We start from the raw sequence: 25,121 nt of genomic DNA on the forward strand, positions 1-25,121 counted from the left end.
GAGCTCGAATTTGTGCTGCTGAATACTCTTGGTATGGTTTCGCTGTTGGTCCCCTCCAAATCTCATGTTGAAATGTGATTCCATTTTGGAGATGGGTTGGGTGGGAGTTGATTGGATCATGGGGGCAGATCCCTCATTATGGTTTAGCACTATACCACTGGTGATCAGTGAGTGAGTGCTCAGTTTGTTCACAGGAGATCTGGTTCTTTAAAAGAGTCTGGGACTTCCCTGCACCCGCTCTCTTGCTCCTGTTCCCACCACGTGACATGCTGGCTCCCCTTCGCCTTTGCCGTGAGTGAAAACTTACTGAGGCCCTCACCAGAAGCAAATGCTGGCACTTCATGTCTTGTACATCCTGATGAACCATGAGTAAAATAAATATCTTTTCTTTATAAATTACCCTGTCTCAGATAATCCTTTATAGCAATGCAAGAGTGGTCTAATGGAACTCGTCCTGTCCTCTAGTGGCAGCAAACCAATTGGCAGCCAATATTTTGGAGGAAGTACTCATCCTGGGATAAACCAATGCTGAGAAAGGACTTTCTGGAAGAACAATTTGCTTAAAACCTGTTCTGGGAAAGTGAATTCATCATTGGAAGGATTCTCATAAATTACTTTTTCTAAAAAACTTATTTCTACTATTTACATTGTTTTTGGCATTCATATTTCTCAGGACGATTCCTGCAGTCTTTGAAGATTTCCACAGAAGCAATTATAGAGTGTACCTGTCCAGTTCAACAGCTATATTATGTGTCTTCTGTATTTCACATACGAGGAGCATTTAAAGGCTATGTAGCATATCCTAAAAAGGCCTTTCCCCACAGTCAGTTTATTGTCATTTTTATGTTTTTGCTAATGATGTGCTAAGTGAAATATAGGACTATGGTACAGAGATTCTACTGGGTGTACAGAACTTGCCAAATGGAAATGGAGATGTAATTATATGAACATTACTATGTAGTGAAAATTTTGTTGGGCAAGATAACCAAGTGTGTGAGACAACACACATCGGTTAAAACTTTTTGCAAAGGACTTTGTTAACCTTTCATTTGTATGACTCCAAAAGTAAGACTAGCAAGGTGTCTGAATTCTAAACATAGGCAAAGACTTCAATGATTCAACTCTATGTAGACTGGTGAATTAAGTCAAAAGGTGGTGTGCTGCATTGGGAGTATGTGAGGAGAGAGAGAAATCAACTCCTTAATATTTTTGAAAATTGAGAAAAACAAACACCTGAAGTTGAATTTATTATGTACTATCTAATTCTGACAAGTCATATTTCTAAAGTGAAGAAAACACTAGGATACAGTGAAATTTGGAAGACCCACTGACAGTAAATGCTGGCTGGCCATTGGGAAACAGGAGAAGGAGCAATGACTCCATGGTGTTCTCTGAAATGCCACCTTTCTTTAGTGCAAGAGACATTTACACAAGGTCGTTTTCTTACAAACACCAACATTCAAGGACAAAACTGAAGATGCCACGTATGAACATAGGGGCCCAGAGACTCTGCCTCCTTCCCTACTCCCATTACCATACAGGAAGACTCACCTTGATCCTATTGAGAATGTTACAATATTGAGTCTATGTTAAAGAAAAATTTTGCTTGCTTGAGGATAATTGCTGCTTTAAGTTTATAGACTAATCATTAAAAACAGCCTCAGAAAAGCCAGACCTGCAACAGTGGTAAAAGAGAAATGTGCTGTGCAGGAATTCTGGGAACAAGTTGACCAGCTGTTTTAACCACCAGATAATAGTCTTGTGGCACCTGCAGAAGGTCATAAGATGCTAACCAAGACAGCAACAATTAAGTGCCTCCCTGAGATTGCACACGCAGCTGCTGCACAAGAATGCTTTGACTATTACTTACAGTTTTCCTAATTTTCCTTAAAAACCCCTGGTGTGAAGGCACAACTCAGAGAGGTGGTTTTTTAATTCTTTCTTTTTTGAAATTTTGTTGTCCATTATATGTTTTTTAAAAATTCTTATTTTAGGTTCAGGGGTACATGTGCAGGTTTGTTAGATAGGTAAATTGCATGTCACAGGGGTTTGCTGTACAGATTATTTTGTCACCCAGATAAAAAGCATTGTATTCAATAGGTAATTTTTGATCCTTAACCCCCTCCCACTCTCCACCCTCAAGTAGGCCATGGTATCCATTCCCTTCTTTGTGTCCATGTGTACTCGATGTTTAGCTCCCACTTATAAGTGAGAACACGTGGTGTTTGGTTTTCTGTTCCTGTGTTCTCTTAGGATAACGGCCTCCTGCTCCATCCATGTTGCTGCAAGGGAAATGATCTCATTCTTTTTATGGCTGCACAGTATTCCATGGTGTATGTGTACCACATTTTCTTTATTGAGTCCACTGTTGATGGGCATTTAGTTTGATTGTATGCCTTTGCCATTGTTAACAGTGCTGTGATGAACATATGCGTGCATGTGTCTTTATGATAGAATGGTTTATATTTCTTTGGGTATATACCAGTAATGGGATAGCTGGGTCAAATGGCAGTTCTATTTTAAGTTCTTTGAGAAGTCTCCAGATTGCTTTCCACAGTGGTTTAACTAATGTACATTCCCACCAGCACCATATAAGCATTGCCTTTTCTCTGCAAACTTGCCACCATCTGTTGTTTTTTTGATATTTTTGAAAATAGCCATTCTGACTTGTGTGAGATGATCTCTCATTGAGGTTTTGATTTGCATTTCTCTAATAGTTAGTGATATTGAGTATTTTTTCATTTTCTTGGCCACATGTATATCTTCTTTTGAGAAGTGTCTGTTCAAATCCTTTGCTGATTTTTTAATGGGGTTGGTTTTTTTGTTTTGTTTTGTTTTTTGGCTTGTTAATTTAAGCTTGCTATAGATTCTGGATATTAGACCTCTGTCAAATGCATACCTTGCAAATATTTTCTCCTATTCTGTAGACTGTCCATGTACTCTGTTGATAATTTCTTTTGCTGTGCAGAAGCTTTTTAGTTTAATTAGATCCCATTTGTCAATTTTTGTTTTTGTTGCAATTGCTTTTAGAGTCTTCATCATAAATTATTTGCCAGGGCCTATGGCCAAAATGGTATTATATTCTAGGTTTTCTTCCAGAGTTTTTATAGTTTCATATCTTACATTTATATATTTAATCCACCTTGAGTTGAGTTTTGTATATGATGAAAAACAGGGGTCCAGTTTAAATCTTCTACACATGGCTAGCCAGTTGTCTCAGCACTATCTATTGAATAGAGGGTCCTTTTCCCCATTGCTTGTTTTGGTTGGCTTTGTCGAAGATCACATGGTTGTAGGTGTGAGGCTTTATTACTCACTTATCTATTCTGTTCCATTGGTCTATGTTTCTGCTTTTGTGTCAGTACAATGCTGTTTTAGTTACTGTAGCTTTGCAGTATATTTTAAAGTCAGGTAGTGTGATGCCTCCAGCTTGTTCTTTTTGCTTAGGATATCTTTGGCTACTGGGCTCTTTTGTGGTTCCAAATGAATTTTAGAGTGGTTGTTTCTAATTGTGAAAAAATGTTGTTAGTAGTTTGATAGGAATAGCATTGAATCTGTAAATTGCTTTGGGCAGTATGACCATTTTAACGATATTGATTCTCCATATCCATGAGCTTGGAATGTTTTCCTATTTGTTTGAGTCATCTGTGATTCTTTCAGTAGTGTTTTATAATTCTTCTTGTACAGACCTTTTACCTCCCTGATTAGCTGTATTCCTAGGTATTTTATTCTTTTTGTGGCTATTGTGAATGGGATTGCATTTCTGAGTTGGCTCTCAGCTTGGATGCTGCTGGTGTGTAGAAATGCTAGTGATTTTTATAGAATGATTTTGTATCCTGAAACTTTGCTGAAGTTTCTGAGATCTAGGAGCCTTTGGACAGAGAGTATGGAATTTTCTAGGTATAGAATCATATAATCTGTGAAGAGAGATAGCTTGACTTCTTTTCCAATTTGGATGCCTTTTTATTTTTATTATTTTGTCTGGTTGTTCTGGCTAGGATTTCCAGTATTATGTTGAATAGGTGTGTTGAGAGTGGGCATCCTTGTTTGGTTCTGATTCTCAAGGGAAATGCTTCCAGCTTTTCCCCATTTAGTATGATGCTGACTGTGGGTTTGTCCATATATAGCTCTTATTTTTTTAGGTATGTACCTTTGATATCTAGTCTGTTGAGGGTTTAACATGAAGGAATGTTGAGTTTTATTGACAACCTTTTCTACATCTATTGAGATGATCATGTGTTTTTAAAAATTTCTGTGTATGTGATGAATCACATTTAATGGTTTGTATGTATTGAACCACTCTTGCAGCCCAGGACCAAAGCCTACTCGATAGTGATATATTAGCTTTTGGATGTGCTGCTGGATTCAGTTTGCTAATATTTTTTTGAGAATTTTTGCTTCTGTGTTCCTCAGGGGTATTGGCCTGATGTTTTCTTTTTTCAAAGTTTCTCTTCCAGATTTTGGTATCAGAATGATGCTGGCCTCGTAGAATGAGTTAGGGAGGAGTCCCTCCCTTTTCTATTTTTTGGAATAGCTTCAATAGGATTGGTACCAGCTCTTCTTTATACCTCTGGTAGAATTCAGCTGTGAATATGTCTGGTCTAGAGCTTTTTCTGGTTGGTAGATATTTTATTACTGATTCAATTTAATACCTTGATATTATTTTGTTCAGTGTAAATTTGTTCATGGTTCAATCTTGGGAGGTGGTGTGTTTCCAGGAATTTATCCATTTATTCTAGGTTTTCTAGTTTGTGTGCATAGATGTGTTCATAGTAGTCTCAGGGTTTTTGTTATTTCTGTGGGGTTGGTGGTAACGTCCTCTGTCATTTCTGATTGTGTTTATTTGGATCATCTTCCTTTTTTCTATATTAATCTAGCTGGTGGTCAGTCAATCTTATAAATTCTTTCAGAGAACTAAATTTTGTTTTCATTGATCTTTTCTGTGTTTTTTTCTCACCTCCATTTCATTTGGCTCTCTGATTTTTGTTATTATTTTTTTCTGCTAGCTTTCAAATTGGTTTGCTTTTGTTTTTCAAGTTTCTCTAGGTGTTATGTTAGGTTGGTAATTTCAGATCTTTTAACTTTTTCATGTGAGTGATTAGTGCCATAAACTTTTCTCTCAACAGTGCTTTAGCTGTGTCCCAGAGATTCTCATATGTTGTATTTTTGTTTTCATTAGCTTCAAACAATTTTTTGATTTCTGTCTTAATTCATTGTTTACCCAAATGTTATTCAGAAGCAGAGTGTTTAATTTCCATGTAATTGTATGGTTTTGAGAGTTTTTTTGGTATTCACTTCTATTTTTCTTGCATTGTGGTCTGAGAATGTGCTTGGTATCACTTTGGTGTGTATGTTTTTTCTTTAATTTGTTGAGAATTGCTTTATGACCAAGCGTAGGGTCCATTTTAGAGTATGTGCTGTGTGCAGAGGAGAAGAATGTATGTTCTGTTTTTGTTAGGTGGAGTGTTCTGTAGATGTCTGTAAAGCTCATTTGGTCAAGTGTCAAGTTTAAGAGCTAAATACCTTTGTTAGTATTCTGCCTCAATGATCTGTCCAATATCGGCAGTGGGGTGTTGAAGTATCCCACCATTACTGTGTGTTTATTTAAGTCTCTTCATAAGTCTCTAAGGTCTTATTTTATTTATATATATAGGTGCTCTAGTGTTGGGTGCATGTATATTGAGGATAGTTAAATCTTCTTGTTGAATTGAACATTTTATCATTGTGTAATGCCTTTCTTTGTCTTTTTTAATCATTGTTGGTTTAATATCTGTTTCATTTGAAATAAGAATAGCAACTCCTGTTCTTTTTTGTTTTCTATTTTCTTGGTAGATCTTTCTCCATCCCTTTTCTTTGAGCCTATGGATGTCCTTGCATGTGAGATGGGTCTCTTGAAGATGACATACAGTTGAGTCTTGCTTTTTAAATTTTTTTAAATAAAAATTGCCACTCTGTGCTTTTTAAAATTTTTAATATTTATGGGTAGATAGTAAGGGTATATATATATGAGGTATACAAGATGTTTTGATCTAAGCATGTAGTGCATAATAAGTACATCATGGAGAATGAGGTATTTATCCCCTCAAGCATTTATCCTTTGTATCATAAAAATCCAGTTACATCATTTTAGGTATTTTTAAGTGTATGATTGAGTTATTATTGCCTGCAGTCATCCTCTTATGCTCTCACTTTTAAGTGGGGTATTTAGCCTGTTTACGTTCAAGGTTAATATTGATATGTGCCTTTGATCCTGTCATCATGTTGTTAGCTGGTTGTTATGTACACTTGTTATGTATTTTATAGTGTTGTGGTCTATGTATTGAAGTGTGTTTCTGTAGTGGCTGGCAATGGTCTTTCATTTCCATGTTTAGCACCCCCCTGGGACCTTTTGTAAGGCAGTTCTGGTGGTAATGAATTCCCTAAGTGCTTACTTTCCTGAGAAGGATTTTATTTCTCTTTTGCTTATGAAGCTTAGTTTGGCTGGATATGAAATTCTTGGTTGGGATTTCTTTTCTTTAAGGGTGCTAAATATACACCCCAATCTCCTCTGGTTTGTAGATTTTCTCCTGAAATGTCTACTCTTAGCCTGATTAGGTTCCCTTGGAGGATGACCTGCCCCTTCTTTCTAGCTGCATTTCATATGTTTTCTTTTGTGTTGACCGTGGACAACCTGATGACTTATGTGTCTTGGGGATGGCCATCTTATATAGTATCTTGCAGGGATTCTCTGAATTTCTTGTATTTGCATGGCAACCTCTCTAGTGAGGCTTGGGAAATTTTTGTGAACAATATTCTCAAATAAGTTTTCCAAGTTGCTGTTCTCTCTCCCTGTCTTTCATGCATGTTGGTGAGTCATGGACTTGGGCTCTTTACATAATCCTATATCTCTCTAATTTTGTTCATCAAAAAAATTTTTTTTCTTTATTTTTATTTGAGTTAATTCTAAGAACTGGTCTTTGAGCTCTGAGATTCTTTCCTCAGCTTGGTCTATTCTGCTGTTGATAATTCCAATTGTGGGATCCATTCCAAGATGGCTAAATAGTAACAGCTCTGGTCTGCAGCTTCTCGTGTGATCGATGCAGAAGATGGGTGATTTCTGCATTTCCAGCTGAGGTACCTGGTTCATCTCATTGGGACTGGTTGGACAGTGGATGCAGCCCATGGAGGGCAAGCCAAAGAAGGGTGGGGCATCACCTCACCTGGGAAGTGCAAGGGGTCTGGGGATTTCCTTTTCCTAGCCAAGGGAAGCCGTGACAGGCTGTACCAGGAAAATTGGGACACTGCCACCTAAATACTGCACTTTTCCAAAGATCTTAGCAAAAGGCATATCAGGAGATTATATCCCACGCCTGGATCCGTGGGTCCCATGCCCATGGAGCCTTGCTCACTGCTAGCACAGCAGTCCGAGATTGAAGTGCTAGGTGGCAGCCTGGCTGAGGGAGGGGCATCCACCATTGCTGAGGCTTGAGTAGGTAAACAAAGCAGCAGGGAATCTCGAACTAGGTGGAGCCCACCGCAGCTCAATGAGGCCTGCCTGCCTCTGTAGACTCCACCTCTGTAGGCATGGCATCGCTGAACAAAAGGTAGCAGAAACTTCTGCAGACTTAAACATCCCTGTCTGACAGCTCTGAAGAGAGCAATGGTTCTCCCAGCATGGTGTTTGAGCTCTGAGAATGAACAGACTGCCTCCTCAAGTGGGTCCCTGACCCCACTGTAGCCTAACTGGGAGACATCTCCCACTAGGGGCCAACACACACCTCATACAGCTGGGTGCCCCTCTGAGATGAAGCTTTCAGAGGAAGGATCAGGCAGCAATATTTGCTGTTCTGCAATATTTGCTGCTCTGCAGCCTCTGCTGGTGATACCCAGGCAAACAGTGTTGGGAGTGGACCTCCAGCAAACTCCAACAGACCAGCAGCTGAGGGACCTGACTGTTAGAAGGAAAACTGACAGACAGAAAAGAATTGCATCAACATCAACAAAAAGGACACCCACACCAAAACCCCATCTGTAGGTCACCATCATCAAAGGCCAAAGGTAGATAAAACCACAAAGATGGGGAGAAACCAGAGCAGGAAAGCTAAAAATTCTAAAAACCAGGGCACCTCTTCTCCTCCAAAGGATCACAGCTCCTCACTAGTAATGGAACAAAGCTGGACAGAGAATGACTTTGATGAGTTGGCAGAAGTAGGTTTCAGAAGGTCAGTAATAACAAACTTCTCTGAGCTAAAGGAGGATGTTCAAACCCATCACAAGGAAGCAAAAAGCCTTGAAAAGAGATTAGATGAATGGCTAACTAGAATAAACAGTGTAGAGCAGACTTTAAATCACCCAATGGAGCTGAAAACCATGGCACGAGAACTATGTGATACATGCACAAGCTTCAGTAGACAATTCGATCAAGTGGAGGAAAGGGTATCAGTGATTGAAGATCAAATTATTGAAATGAAGTAAGAAGAGAAGTTTAGAGAAAAAGGAGTAAAAAGAAATGAACAAAGCCTCCAAGAAATATGGGACTATGTGAAAAGATCAAATCTACATCAGATTGGTGTACTCGAAAGTGACCGAGAGAATGGAGCCAAGTTGGAAAACACTCTTCAGGATATTATGTAGGAGAACTTCCCCAACCTAGCAAGGTAGGCCAACATCCAAATTCAGGAAATACAGAGACCAACAAAAAGATACTCCACGACAAGAGCACCCCCAAGACACATAATTGTCAGATTCACCAAGGTTGAAATGAGGGAAAAAATGTTAAGACAGCCAGAGAGAACGGTCGGGTTACCAATAAAGGGAAGCCCATCAGACTAACAGCTGATCTCTCGGCACAAACTCTACAAGCCAGGAAAGAGTGGGGGTCAATATTCAACATTCTTAAAAAAAAGAATTTTCAACCCAGAATTTCATATCCAGCCAAACTAAGCTTCATAAGAGAAGGAGAAATAAAATACTTTACAGACAAGCAAATGCTGAGAGATTTTGTCACCACCAGGACTGCCTTACAAGAGCTCCTGAAGGAAGCACTAAAGATGGAAAGGAACAACCAGTACCAGCCACTGCAAAAACATGCCAGATTGTAAAGACCATCAATGCTAGGAAGAAACTGCATCAACTAATGAGCAAAATAACCAGCTAACATCATAATGACAGGATCAAATTCATGCATAACAATATTAACCTTAAATGTAAATGGGCTAAATGCTCCAATTAAAAGACACAGACTGGCAAATTGGATAAAGAGTCAAGACCCATCAGTGTGCTGTATTGAGGAGACCCATCTCATGTGCAGCAACACACAAAGGCTCAAAATAAAGGGATGGAGGAAGTTCTGCCAAGCAAATGGAAAGCAAAAAAAAGGCAGGGGTTGCAATCCTAGTCTCTGAAAAAACAGACTTCAAACCAACAAAGATCAAAAGATACAAAGAAGACCATTACAACAATGGTAAAGGGATCAATTCAACAAGAAGAGCTAACTATTCTAAACATATATGCACCCAATACAGGAGCACCCAGATTCATAAAGCAAGTCCTTAGAGACCTACAAAGAGACTTAGACTCCCACACAATAATGGGAGACTTTAACACCCCACTGTCAATATTAGATGTATCAATGAGACAGAAGGTTAACAAGGATATCCAGGACTTAAACTCAGCTCTGCACCACGCAGACCTAATAGACATCTACAGAACTCTCCACCCCAAATCAATAGAATATACATTCTTCTCAGGACCACATCATATTTATTCCAAAATTGACCACATAGTTGGAAGTGAAGCACCCCTTAGCAAATGTAAAAGAACAGAAATTACCACAAATTGTCTCTCAGACCACAGTGCAATCAAATTAGAGCTCAGGATTAAGAAACTCACTCAAAACTGCACAACTACATGGAAATTGAACAACCTGTTCCTGAATGACTACTGGGTACATAACGAAATGAAGGCAGAAATAAAGATGTTCTTTGAAACCAGTGAGAACAAAGACACAACATACCAGAATCTCTGGGACACATTTAAAGGAGGGTGTAGAGGGAAATTTATAGCACTAAATGCCCACAAGAGAAACCAGGAAAGATCTAAAATCAATCTCCTAACATCACAATTAAAAGAACTAGAGAAGCAAGAGCAAACACATTCAAAAGCTAGCAGAAGGCAAGAAATAACTAAGATCAGAGCAGAACTGAAGGAGATAGAGACACAAAAACCCCTTCAAAAAATCAAGGAATCCAGGAGCTGGTTTTTTGAAAAGATCAACAAAATTGATAGACCACTAGCAAGACTAATAAAGAAGAAAAGAGAGAAGAATCAAATAGACGCAATAAAAAATGATAAAGGGGATATCACCGCTGATCCCACAGAAATACAAACTACCGTCAGAGAATACTATACACATCTCTATGCAAATAAATTACAAAACCTAGAAGACATGGATAAATTCCTGGAGACATACACCCTCCCACGACTAAACCAGAAAGAAGTTGAATCACTGAATAGACCCATAACAGGTTCTGAAATTGAGGCAATAATTACTGGCCTACCAACCAAAAAGAGTCCACAACCAGACAGATTCACAGCCGAATTCTACCAGAGGTACAAAGAGGAGCTGGTACTGTTCCTTCTGAAACTATTCCAATCAATACAAAAAAGAGGGAATCCTCCCTAACTGATTTTATGAGGCCAGCATCATCCTGATACCAAAGCCTGGCAGAGACACAATAAAAAAAGAGAATTTTAGACCAACATCCCTGATGAACATCGATGCGAAAATCCTCAATAATATACTGGCAAACCGAATCCAGCAGCACATCAAAAAGCTTATCCACCAAGATGAAGTTGGCTTCATTCCTGGAATGCAAGGCTGGTTGAACATATGCAAATCAATAAACTTAATCCATCACATAAACAGAACCAATGACAAAAACCACATGATTATCTCAATAGATGCAGAAAAGGCCTTCAACAAAATTCAAGAACTCTTCATGCTAAAAACTCTCAATAAATTAGGTATTGATGGAACATATCTCAAAATAATAAGAGCTATTTATGACAAACCCACAGCCAATATCATACTGAATGGGCAAAACTGGAAGCATTCCCTTTGAAAACTGGCACAAGACAGGGGTGCCCTCTCTCACCACCCCTATTCAACATAGTGTTGGAAGTTCTGGCCAGGACCATCAGGCAAGAGAAAAAAAGAAAGTGTATTCAGTTAGGAAAAGATGAAGTCAAATTGTCCCTGTTTGCAGTTGACATGATTTTATATTTAGAAAACACCATCATCTCAGCCCAAAATTTCCTTAAGCTGATAAGTAACTTCAGCAAAGTCTCAGGATACAAAATCAATGTGCAAAAATCACAAGCATTCTTATACACCAATAACAGACAAACAGAGAGGCAAATCATGAATGAACTCCCATTCACAATTGCTACAAAGAGAATAAAATACCTAGGAATCCAACTTACAAGGGATGTGAAGGACCTCTTCAAGGAGAACTACAAACCACTGCTCAATGAAATAAAAGAGGACACAAACAAATGGAAGAGCATTCCATGCTCATGGATAGGAAAAATCAATATCGTGAAAATGGCCATACTGCCCAAGGTGTAATTTATAGATTCAATGCCATCCCCATCAAGCTACCAATGACTTTCTTCACAGAATTAGAAAAAGCTACTTTAAAGTTCATATGGAACCAAAAAAGAGCCCATATTGCCAAGACAATACTTAGCAAAAAGAACAAAGCTGGAGACATCATACTACCTGACTTCAAACTATACTACAAGGCTACAGTAAACAAAACAGCATGGTACTGGTACCAAAACAGAGATATAGATCAATGGAACAGAACAGAGGCCTCAGAAATAACACCACACATCTACACCATCTGATCTTTGCCAAACCTGACAAAAGCAAGAAATGGGGAAAGGATTCCCTATTTAAAAATAAATGGTGCTGGGAAAACTGCCTAGCCATATGTAGAAAGCTGAAACTGGATCCCTTCCTTGCACCTTATACAAAATTTAATTCAAGATGGATTAAAGACTTAAATATTAGACCTAAAACCATAAAAACCTTAGAAGAAAACCTAGGCAATACCATTCAGAACATAGGCACGGGTAAGGACTTCATGACTAAAACACCAAAAGCAATGGCAACAGAAGCCAAAATTGACAAATGGGATCTAATTAAACTAAAGAGCTTCTGCACAGCAAAAGAAACTACCATCAGAGTGAACAGGCCACCTACAGAATGGGAGAAAATTTTTGCAATCTACCCATCTAACAAGGGCTAATATCCAGAATCTACAAAGAACATAAACAAATTTACAAGAAAAAAATCAGACACTCCATCAAAAAGTGGGCAAAGGATATGAACAGACACTTCTCAAAAGAAGACATTTATGCAGCCAAAAGACACATGAAAAAAAGCTCATCATCACTGGTCATCAGAGAAATGCAAATCAAAACCACAATGAGATACCATCTCACACCAGTTAGAATGGCGATCATTAAAAAGTCAGGAAACAACAGGTGCTGGAGAGGATGTGGAGAAATAGGAACACTTTTACACTGTTGGTGGGAGTGTAAACTAGTTCAACCATTGTGAAAGACAGTGTGGTGATTCCTCAAGGATCTAGAACTAGAAATACCATTTGACCCAGCCATCTCATTACTGGGTATATACCCAAAGGATTATAAATCATGCTACTATAAAGACACATGCACATGTATGTTTATTGCGGCACTATTCACAGTAGCAAAGACTTGGAACCAACACAAATGTCCATCAGTGATAGACTGGATTAAGAAAATGTGGCATATATACACCATGGAATACTATGCAGCTTTAAACAAGGATAAGTTAATGTCCTTTGTATGGACATAGATGAAGCTGGCAACCATCATTCTGCGCAAACTATCACAAGGACAGAAAACCAAACACCACTTGTTCTCACTCATAGGTGGGAATTGAACTATGAGAACACTTGGACACAGGGTGGGGAACATCACACACCAGGGCCTGTCATAGATGGGGAGATGGGGGAGGGATAGCATTAGGAGAAATACCTAATGTAAATGACAAGTTACTGGGTGCAGCAAATCAACATGGCACATGTATACATATGTAACAAACCTGAACTTTGTGCACATGTACCCTAGAACTTAAAATATAATAAAAAAAGAAAAAAATCCATTTGTGTAATAATAAAATTATTGTACTATGTTTTTTCAGCTCTATTAGCTCAGTTTGGTTCTTTCTTAAAATGCCTATTTTATCTTTCATCTCTTGAATCATTTTACTGAATTCCTTTGATTCCTTGGAATGAGTTTCAACTTTCTCCTGAATCTCGATATTTGATAACATCCAGGTTTTGAATTCCGTGTCTGTCATCTCAGCCATTTCTTTCTGTCATCTCAGCCATTTCTTTCTAGTTAAGAACCATTGCTGGGGAGTTAGCATGGTCATTTGGATGTAGCGAGACACTCTGGCTTCTAGAATTGCCAGAGTTCTTGCGTTGGTTCTTTCTCATCTTGTGTGGGCTGATGTTCTTTTAACTGTGGAGTAGTGTAGTCAATTGGCTTTGTTTCTGGATGTTTTCAGAGGGCTGAGGCTTTGGGCAGGCTTTTTATTTGTGGCAGGATTCTTGTCCTTGATTTCACAGGGAGTTATATTAAGAAAGTATATTTGGTGTTGAAGTTAGGGCTGCGTTCCAGTAATGACACTTAAGCATAATGGCCAGTAGGTAGGCTCTTGCTCAGCCATGTGGCTCCTATATATTTCCTCACATCTGCAGCTGTGCTCCTTCTCAGTGCTCTGAGCATGTGGGCTTCTGTCCCACTCAGGTGCTGGCTGTAGATCTCAGCTTGGCACTCCTGGGCTGCACACTACAATCCTGGAGTGAGCTCAGGCTTTTTGTTACCTCCCCATCTTGGGGACAGCAGTGATGGGGACGTTGGCAGTGGCAATGGCAAAGGACTTTTAACTGGTCTCTGGGGCTTCATCCTACAGAATTGCATAGCTGCTGCCAATCAGAATGATCAGCCCAAGGTGGGGTGGTTGTGTTGCAGGTCCAAGCCTGGGGGCCCTGCCTGGGGACACGTGGTGGGGTGGGGAGCTTGTGGGAAAGGCCGTCTGGCCTTTTCTCTATAGGGTGGCTATGGTGTGCTGGAAGTGCAAGTAAAGCACTCAGGCTCTTTGTTCCTTCCCCAGCCTGGTGGCAGCAAGGGTGGGTATTGCTGCAGTGGCAGAGGGCATGTCTGTTGCCTCTGGCAACTCCACCACAGAGAGACATAGAGCCGGTGCCTATGGAAGCATTCAGCAGGGGATGGGGTGGCTGCATTGTGGATGCTAGCCAAGGCCATATCTGGTGAAGAGCAGGGAATTGGGAGCTCACAGGGAAGAGAGACTGGGCTCCTTTTCATCTAGCCATTGTGCCATGTTAGAGTTGCCAGCAAAATGATCAGGGTCTTTGTTTCTTTCCCAGCCAGAGGACAGCAAGGGCAGTTCCACTGCAGCTGCAATGGCAGAGAGCCTGTGGATTGTCTCTGGGATTTCCTCCCTACAGAAATGCAGAGCCGCCACTGACTGAAGTGCTCAGGTGGGGGCAGGGCGGCTGTGCTGGAGACCCAGGTCGGGAAAACCTGCCCAGTGATGAGTAGCAGAGGCAGGGACGTGCATGGAAAACAGTCTGGGCACATTTCTGTAAGGCAGTTGCAGTGTTCTCAAGGCCCGTGATAGTCCTTAGGCTTCTTGCTTCCTCCCAGCCTGAGGGCAGTAGAGGTGGGAGCTACAGCAGTGGCAAAAATGGTGGGCATGTCCATTACCTCTGGGAGCTCCAGCCCAGATAATACAGAGCTGCCACTGGTCCGAGTGCTGTGGTGGGGAGTGGGGTGGCTTCACTGGGGTCCCAGGTCAGTGGGCTTTATTTGGCAAGGTATAGTGGATGCTATGCCTGCAGTCTGTTCACCCCTCAGCATCATTGGTACAGCCCCTATCCTGAGGGCATGCAAGAGAGCCAGGCCTCCCTTGTTGGCAGAGCTACAGCAGCTGGTGCAGGAGTGCTCAGGAGTACAAGGCCCTTGGGGCTCCATGTGGGCCTGAGCAGCAGCTCTGCCGAGCAGCTCTGGTGTCAGTCTGGAGGCCCAGGGGAGAGAAAGTTGGTGGGGGAGGGCGGGGAGGGTGTGTGGAATTTCCTGAGCCCAGGTTTGCAAACGTCTAAGGCAGAAATGTGAGTCCTGGGGGCTCTTGCTCACTCACTGTTTCCCCAGTGGGGAGTCTCCCTTGCACCAATCCCCAGTGAGCAGTTGTCTTGTCTCACTCTTCTCTCTGTGGGTTGCATTTCTTCTTGATGAATCCCAATGTGTCCTCTGGGATGATCCCACTGAAGAACTAGTGTTTAACTCCTCCCTGCTCTGCCTTTAAAAAAAAAAAAAAAAAAAAAAAAACCAGGAGAGGCTGGCAAGATGACTGAATAGGAAGAGCTCTGTCCTGCAGCTCCCTGGGAGATCAATGCAGAATGTGGGTGGTTTCTGCATTTCCAACTGAGATACCTGGCTCATCTCACTGGGACTAGTTAGACAGTGGGTGCAGCCCACAGAAGGCAAGCTGAAGCAGGATGGGGTGTCATCTCACCTGGGAAGCGCAAGGGGTCAGGGAACTCCCTCCCCTAGCCAAGGGAAGCCATGGGGGGCTGTGCCTTGAGGAACAGTGCATTCCAGCCCAGATACTACGCTTTTCCCACGGTCTTCGCAACCTACAGACCAGGAGATTCCCTGGGGTGCCTATGCCACCAGGACCCTGGGTTTCAAGCACAAAAGTGGGTGGACATTTGGACAGACATGAAGATAGCTGCAGGAGTTTTTTTCATACCCCAGTGATGCCTGAAATGCCAGTGAGACAGAATTGTTCACTCCCCTGGAAAGGGGGCTAAAGCCAGAGAGCCAAGTGGTCTAGGTCAGTGGATCCCACCCCCACGGAGCCCAGCAAGCTGAGATCCACTGACTTGAAATTCTCGCTGCCAGCACAGGAGTCTGAGGTCAACCTGGGATGCTCAAGCTTGGTGGGGAGAGGCGTATCTGCCATTACTAAGGCTTGAGTAGGTGGTTTTCCCCTCACAGTGTAAACTAAGCAGCAGGGAAGTTCCAACTGGGCAGAGCCCTCCACAGCTCAGCAAAGCCACTGTAGCCAGACTGCCTCTCTAGATTCCTCCTCTTTGGCCAGGGCATCTCTGAAAAAAAGGCAGCAGCCTGTAGTCCCAGCTACTCGGGAAGCTGAGGCAGGAGAATGGCATAAACCTGGGAGGCAGAGCTTGCAGTGAGCCGAGATCATGCCACTGCACTCCAGCCTGGGTGACAGAGCAAGAGTCTATCTCAAAAAAAATAAATAGATAAAAAAGGCAGCAGCCCCAGTAAGGGGCTTATAGGTAAAACCCCCATCTCCCTGGGAGAAAGCACCTGGGGGAAGGGGTGGCTGTGGGCACAGCTTCAGCAGACATAAACGTCCCTGCCTCCTGGCTCTGAAGAGAGCAGTGGATCTCCCAGCACAGCGTTCGAGCTCTGCTAAGGGTTAGACTGCCTCCTCAACTGGGTCCCTGATCCCCATGTCTCCTGATTGGGAGACATCTCCCAGCAGAGGCTGACAGACACTTCATACAGGAGAGCTCCGGCTGGCATCTGGTGGGTGCCCCTCTGGGATGAAGCTTCCAGAGGAAGAAACAGGGCCATCAATCTTTGCTGTTCTGCAGCCCCCACTGGTGATACCCAGGCAAACAGGGTCTGGAGTGGACCCCCAGCAAACTCCAGCAGACCTGCAGCAGAGACGCTTTACTGTTAGAAGGAAAACAAATAAACAGAAAGGAAGAGCATCAACATCAAAAAGGATGTTGTCCACACAGAAACTCCATCCGAAGATCACCAACATCAAAGACTAAAGGTAGATAAGTCCATGAAGATAGGGAGAAACCAGCACAAAAAGGCTGGAAATTCCAAAAATCAGAATGCCTCTTCCCCTCCAAATGATCACAACTCCTCACCAGCAAGGGAACAAAACTGGATGGAGAATGAGCTTGATGAATTGAGAGAAGCAGGCTTCAGGAGGTGGGTAATAACAAACTCCTCCGAGCTAAAGGAGCTTGTTCTAACCCAATGCAAGAAAGTCAAGAACCTTGAAAAAAGGTTAGATGAATTGCTAACTAGAATAACCAGTTTAGAGAAGAATGTAAATGACCTGATGGAGCTGAAAAACAGCAAAAGAACTTCATGAAGCATATACAAGTATCAATAGTTGAATCAATCAAATGAAAGAAAAGATATCAGAGACTGAAGATCAATCTCTTAAAAATCTCTTAATGAAATAAAGCGTGAAGACAAGATTAGAGAAAAAAGAATGAAAAGAAATGAGCAAAGTGTCCAAGAGATATCAGACTATGTGAAAAGACCAAACCTATGTTTGATTGGTGTACCTGAAAGTGACAGAGAGAATGGAACCCAGCTGGAAAACACTCTTCAGGATATTATCCAGGAGAACTTCCCCAACCTAGCAAGACAGGCTAACATTAAAATTCAGAAAAAACAGAGAACACCACAAAGATACTCCTCGAGAAGAGCACCCCCAAGACATATAATTGTCAGACTCACCAAGGTTGAAATGAAGGAAAAAATGTTAAGGGCAGCTAGAGAGAAAGGTCGGGTTACCCACAAAGGGAAACCCAACAGACTAACAGTGGATCTCTCTGCAGAAATCCTACAAGCTAGAAGAAAGTGGGGGCCAATATTCAACATTCTTAAAGAAAAGAATTTCTTTTCTTTCATCTCCAACCAAGCTAAGCTTCATAAGTGAAGGAGAAATAAAATTATTTACAGACAAGCAAATGCTGAGAGATTTTGTCACCACCAGGCCTGCCTGACAAGAGCTCCTAAAGGAAGCACTAAACATGGAAAAAAAAACCAGTACCAGCCACTGCAAAAATATACCAAATTGTAAAGACAATTGATACTATGAAGAAACTGCATCAACTAATGAGCAAAATAACCAGCTAGCATCATAATGAAAAGATCAAATTCACACTAACAATATTAATCTTAAATGTAAATGGGCTAAATGCCCAATCAAAAGACACAGACTGGCAAATTGGATAAAGAGTCAAGATCCATTGGTGTGCTGTATTCAGGAGACCCATCATACATGCAAAGACACACGTAGGCTCAAAATAAATAAAGGGATGGAGGAATATTTACCAAGCAAATGGAAAGAAAAAATAAAAAGCAGGGGTCACAATCCTAGTCTCTGATAAAACAGACTTTAAACCAACAAAGATCAAAAGATACAAAGAAAGGCATTACATAATGGCAAAGGGATCAATGCATTAAGAAGAGTTAACTATCCTAAATATATATGCACCCAATACAGGAGCACCCAGATTCATAAAGCAAGTTCTTAGAGACCTATAAAGAGACTTAGACTCCCATACAATAATAGTGAGAGACTTTAACACCCCACCATCAATATTAGACAGATCAACTAGACAGAAAATTAGCAAGGATATTCAGGACTTGAACTCAGCTCTGCACCAAGCAGACCTAATAGACATCGACAGAACTCTCCACTCCAAATCAGCAGAATATACATTCTTCTCAGCACCACATTGCACTTATTCTAAAATTGACCACATAATTGGAAATAAAACACTCCTCAGCAAATGCAAAAGAACAGAAATCATAACAAACAGTCTCTCAGACCACAGTGCAATCAAATTAGACCTCAGGATTAAGAATCTCACTCAAAACCACATAACTACATGGAAATTGAAAAAACTGCTCCTGAATGACTACTGGGTACATAACAAAATTGAGGCAGAAACAAAAAAGCTCTTTCAAACCAAGGAGAACAAACACAAAACATACCAGAATCACTGGGACACAGCTAAAGCAATGTTCAGAGGGAAATTTATAGCACTAAATGCCCACAAGAGAAAGTAGAAAAGATCTAAAATTGACACTCTAACTTCACAATTAAAAGAACTAGAGAAGCAAGAGCAAACATACTCAAAAGCTAGCAGAAGGCAAGAAATAACTAAGATCAGAGCAGAACTGAAGGAGATAAGAGACATAAAAAACCCCTTCAAAAATTGATGAATCCAGGAGCTGGGTTTTTGAAAAGATCAACAAAATATGTAGACCACTAGCCAGACTAATAAAGAAGAAAAGAGAGAAGAATCAAATAGATGCAATAAAAAATGATAAAGGAGATATCACCACTGATCCCACAGAAATACAAACTACCATCAGAAAGTACTATAAACACCTCTACACAAATAAACTAGAAAATATAGAAAAAATAGATAAATTCCTGGACACATACCCCCTCCCAAGTCTAAACCAGGAAGAAGTCAAATACCTGAATGGACCAATAACAGGTTCTGAAATTGAGGCAGTAATTAATAGCCTACCAATAAAAAAAGTCCAGGACAAGATGGATTCACAGCCAAATTCTACCAGAGGTACAAACAGGAATGGTACCATTCCTTCTGAAACTATTGCAAGCAATAGAAAAAGAGAGACTCCTTGCTAAGTCTTTTTATGAGGCCAGTATCATCGTAATACCAAAACCTGGCAGAGACATAACAAAAAAAGAAAATTTCAGGCCAATATCCCTGAGGAACATCGATGGGAAAATCCTCAATAAAATACTGGCAAACCGAATCCAGCAGCACATCAAAAAGCTTATCCACCATGATCAATTTGGCTTCCTCCCTGAGATGCAAGGTTGGTTTAACATATGCAAATCAATAAATATAATGCATCACATAAACAGAACCAATGACAGAAACCGCATGATTATTTATCTCAATAGATTATCTCAACAGATGCAGAAAAAGGCCTTCAATAAAATTTGACACCCCTTCATGCTAAAAACTCTCAGTAAACTAGGTATTAATGGAACATATCTCAAAATAAGAGCTGTTTATGACAAATCCACGCCAATATCATACTAAACGGGCAAAAGCTGGAAGCATTCCCTTGGAAAACAGGCACAAGACAAGGATGCCCTCTCTCACCACTCCTATTCAACATAGTATTGGCAGTTCTGGCCAGAGCAATCATGCAAAAGAAAGAAATAAAAGGTATTCAAGCAGGAAGAGAGGAAGTCAAATTGTCTCTGTTTGCAGATGACATGATTGTATATTTAGAAAACCCCATCATCTCAGTCCAAAATCTCCTTAAGCTGATAAGAAACTTCAGCAAAGTCTCAGGATACAAAATCAAAGTGCAAAAATCACAAGCATTCCTACACAACAATAATCGACAAACAGAGAGCCAAATCATGAGTGAACACACATTCACAATTGCCACAGAGAGAATAAAATACCTAGGAATACCAATTTACAAGGGATGTGAAGGACCTCTTCAAGGAGAACTACAAACCACTGCTCAACAAAATAAGAGACAACACAAACAAATGGAAGAACATTCCATACTCATGGATAGGAAGAATCAATATCATGAAAATGGACATACTGCCCAAAGTAATTTATAGATTCAATACTATCCCCATCAAGCTACCATTGACTTTCTTCACAGAATTAGAAAAAGCTACTTTAAATTTCATATGGAACCAAAAAAGAGCCCACATAGACAAGACAATCATAAGCAAAAAGAGCAAAGCTGGAGGCATCACACTATTTGACTTCAAACTGTACTACAAGGCTACAGTAACCAAAACAGCATAGTACTGGTACCAAAACAGATATATAGACCAATGGAACAGAATAGAGACCTCAGAAATAACACCACATATCTACAACCCATCTGATCTTTGACAAACCTGACAAAAACAAGAAATGGGGAAAGGATTCCCTTAATAAATGGTGCTGGGAAAACTGGCTAGCCATATGCAGAAAGCTGAAACTGGATCCCTTCCTTACACTTTATACAAAAATTAATGCAAGATGGATTAAAGACTTAAATGTAAAACCCCAAACCATAAAAACTCTAGAAGAAAACCTAGGCAATAGCTTTCAGGATATAGGCATGGGCAAAGGCCTCATGACTAAAACACCAAAAGCAATGGCAACAAAAGCCAAAAGTGACAAATGGAATCTAGTTAAACTAAAGAGCTTCTGCACAGCAAAAGAAACTATCATCAGAGTGAACAAGCATCCTACAGAATGGGAGAAAATTTTTGCAATCTGTCCATCTGACAAAGGGCCAATATCCAGAATCTACAAAGAACATAAACAAATTTACAAGAAAAAAACAAACAACCCCACCAAAAAGTGGGTGAAGGATATGAACAGACATTTGTCAAAAGAAGACATTTATGCAGCCAACAAACATATGAAAAAAAGCTCATCATCAGTGGCCCTTAGAGAAATGCAAATCAAAACCACAATGAGATACCATCTCAAGCCAGTTAGAATGGCGATCATTAAAAAGGCAGGAAGCAACAGATACTGGAGACGATGCAGAGAAATAGGAACGCTTTTACATTGTTGATGGGACTGTAAATTAGTTCAACCATTGTGGAAGACAATGTGGTGATTCCTCAGGGATCTAGAACTAGAAATACCATTTGACCCAGCAATCCGATTACTGGGTATATACCCAAAGGATTATAAATCATTCTACTATAAAGACACATGCACATGTATGTTTATTGTGGCACTGTTCACAATAGCAAAGACTTAGGACCAACCCAAATGCCCATCAATGATAGACTGGATAAAGAAGATGTGGCACATATATACCATGGAATACTATGCAGCCATAAAAAAGGATGAGTTCATGTCCTTCCCAGGGACATGGATGAAGCTGGAAACCATCTTCCTCAGCAAACTAACACAAGAACAGAAAACCAAACATCGCATGTTCTCACTCATAAGTGGGAGTTGAACAATGAGAACACATGGACACAGGGAGGGGAACATCACACACTGGGGCCTGTTGGGGGCGGGGGGTTAGGAGAGGGATAGCATTAGGAGAAATACCTAATGTAGATGATGGGTTGATGGGTGCAGCAAACCACCACGGCACATGTATACCTATGTAACAAACCTGCACGTTCTGCACATGTATCCCAGAACTTAAAAAAAAAAAAAAAGAGTCAGGAGAGGCATCCCGTTAGTGGATCTGCTAATTGCACCTCAATCAGCACTGGATTCACAGAAATGTTCCCCCTCTTGCTCCCAGAAGCAACCTTCCAGACTGCTTTTAATGCGTTCTCTCAAGGTTCAAAGAAGCCCTACACTTCAAAGAAGGCCTCATTTCTGTTAACTTATTGCCACCTACTGGCCTACGTTAAATTTTATCAAGAAACGAGAGCCTGGATTTTAATGACCAGTTGACATCATGGATTTGTAGTTTTCCAGGGAGGCTTAGCAGGGCTGTCACAAGGGGCCTCATTAATTCTCCACAGTAAGCCCCAGACGGCTGAATATTTAGCTTGTTCTTACAGGCTTTTCAAAGGGAATTCCACGCTTACCTCCCCTAGCTCATTCCTACAACTTAGCATCTCTCACTGGGCAGAAGTCCTATCCCAGAGCTAATCCCAGTTCCTCCTGCTGCAGTTAAAGCACCCTTGTTTGATTATCATCCATGGAGCTGTATACACTTAGTGGCCATCATCTGACCTCTGTATTTTCTACCTCAGAAGCCTCCACTGGGAGGGGTAGGTGAAAATCCACTTAAGGCAGAGGACACAGATGCGTTCCAAGAGGCTTGGGCTTCCCCCATGTGAGGGCCAAAGCAAGCGCAGAGCAAACTTAAAGCAGCCTCGGGAGTGACAGGAGGACAAGCCTGTTGGAAAGGAATACGCTGGCCGGCGACTCGGAGGGCACACCTCTCAGCACATTAGAGGCATTGTGATGCGTGGGAAGGAGGAGGCTTTGGAGTCTTATAGATCTGATTCTCCTCTGCAAAATAGAGACAATAATCTTAATCTTAATAAAGAGTTGGGAAAATGAAATGAGCTGGCTTTACAAAGTGCCTGGTATGAAACAGATCCCACTCAACAGACGTTATCATCCGCTCCTCTCCCCACTCCCAGGACTGTCATTAAGAAAACTCAATTCAGGCCAGGCATGGTGGCTAACGCTTGTAGTCCCAGCACTTTGGGAAGCCATGGTGGGCAGATCACCTGAGATCAGAAGTTCAAGATCAGCCTGGTCAACATGGTGAAACCCTGTCTCTACTAAAAATTTTTTAAAAAATTAAATTAGCTGAGTGCGAAGGCACACGCCTGTAATCTCAGCTACTTGGGAGGCTGAGGCACGAGAATCACTTGAACCCGGGAGGCAGAGGTTGAAGAATATAAAAATAGACACTTTAACCAATTTAAATTGTACAGTTCAATGGCTTTAATGAAATTCATGATGATTTAGAAACCTCATTACTACCTATTTCCAAAACATTTTCTTCACTCCAACAGAAACTCTGTAACCATTAAGCAATACTTCCCCAGTCTGACTTCCCCCAGTCCCTGGTTATTTCTAATCAACTTTCTGGATCTATGAATTTGCCTATTCCTCTACCTATAAGCGGACTTATTACAGTATTTGTCTTTTTATGTCTGGCTATTTTCACTTAGCATACTGTTCTCAAGGTCATTCCTGCTGTTGTATGAATCAGAACTTCACTCCTGTTTGTGATGAAATAATATTGTATGTATATAGGACATTCTGTGTACCCATTTGTCTGTTAATGGACACTTGAGTTCTTTCAATCTTACATCTGTTGTGAATAATGGTGCCATGAACATTGGCTCACAAGTATCTGTTCAAATCCCTGTTTTCAATTCTTTTGGTTATATAGCCAGGTGTGAATTTCTGGATCCTATGGCACTTGTGATTTTCTTTTTCAGGAACCACAGATCTGTTTTCCAAATTGATATGCCAATTTATATTCACCAGCAATTTGTAAGAGTTCCAATTTTCCCACATTCTGTTAAATATTTGTGATTTTCCACTAAAAATAATTATAGACTTCCTTTTTTTATTACACTTTAAGTTTTAGGGTACATGTGCACAACGTGCAGGTTAGTTACATATGCATACATGTGCCATGTTGGTGTGCTGCACCCATTAACTCGTCATTTAACATTGGGTATATCTCCAAATGCTATCCCTCCCCCCTCCCCCCACCCCACAACAGGTCCCGGTGTGTGATGTTCCCCTTCCTGTGTCCATGTGTTCTCATTGTTCAATTCCCACCTATGAGTGAGAACATGCGGTGTTTGGTTTTTTGTCCTTGTGATAGTTTGCTGAGAATGATGGTTTCCAGCTTCATCCATGTCCCTACAAAGGACATGAACTCATCCTTTTTTATGGCTGCATAGTATTCCATGGTGTAGATGTGCCACATTTTCTTAATCCAGTCTATCATTGTTGGACATTTAGGTTGGTTCCAAGTCTTTGCTATTATGAATAGTGCCACAATAAACATACATATGCATGTGTCTTTATAGCAGCATGATTTATAATCCTTTGGGTATATACCCAGTAATGGGATGGCTGCGTCAAATGGTATTTCTAGTTCTAGATCCCTGAGGAATCACCACACTGACTTACACAATGGTTGAAATAGTTTACAGTCCCACCAACAGTGTAAAAGTGTTCCTAGTTCTCCACATCCTTTCCAGCACCTGTTGTTTCCTGACTTTTTAATGATTGCCATTCTAACTGGTGTGAGATGGTATCTCATTGCGGTTTTGATTTGCATTTCTCTGATGGCCAGTGATGAGCATTTTTTCGTGTGTCTTTTGGCTGCATAAATGTCTTCTTTTGAGAAGTGTCTGTTCATATCCTTTGCCCACTTTTTGATGGGGTTGTTTGTTTTTTTCTTGTAAATTTGTTTGAGTTCTTTGTAGATTCTGGATATTAGCCCTTTGTCAGATGAGTAGATTGCAAAAATTTTCTCCCATTCTCTAGGTGGCCTATTCACTCTGATGGTAGTTTCTTTTGCTGTGCAGAAGCTCTTTAGTTTAATTAGATCCCATTTGTCAATTTTGGCTTTTGTTGCCATTGCTTTTCGTGTTTTAGACATGAAGTCCTTGCCCATGCCTATGTCCTGAATGGTATTGCCTAGGTTTTCTTCTGGGGTTTTTATGGTTTCAGGTCTAACATTTA

General features: G+C 40.8%; 1 protein-coding gene across 1 annotated transcript in view, besides 1 other annotated feature; it reads left to right on the forward strand.

Annotated features, from left to right (window-relative positions):
• CYP4X1 (cytochrome P450 family 4 subfamily X member 1) overlaps nt 1-25,121 on the forward strand; it is a 94,069-nt gene that overhangs the window by 7,591 nt on the left and 61,357 nt on the right. The gene's annotated exons all lie outside the window — the stretch shown is intronic.
• Nucleotides 14,403-15,210: an enhancer, noted in NCBI's record as "H3K27ac-H3K4me1 hESC enhancer chr1:47449029-47449836 (GRCh37/hg19 assembly coordinates)". NCBI's record gives its function as "activates a minimal SCP1, AML or CMV promoter by ChIP-STARR-seq in naive and primed H9 embryonic stem cells {active_cell/tissue: H9 hESC(naive and primed)}" and the evidence as "EXISTENCE:reporter gene assay evidence [ECO:0000049][PMID:30033119]".

Source organism: Homo sapiens, chromosome 1, assembly GCF_000001405.40.
Source record: "Homo sapiens chromosome 1, GRCh38.p14 Primary Assembly".
Classification (NCBI taxonomy): domain Eukaryota; kingdom Metazoa; phylum Chordata; class Mammalia; order Primates; family Hominidae; genus Homo; species Homo sapiens.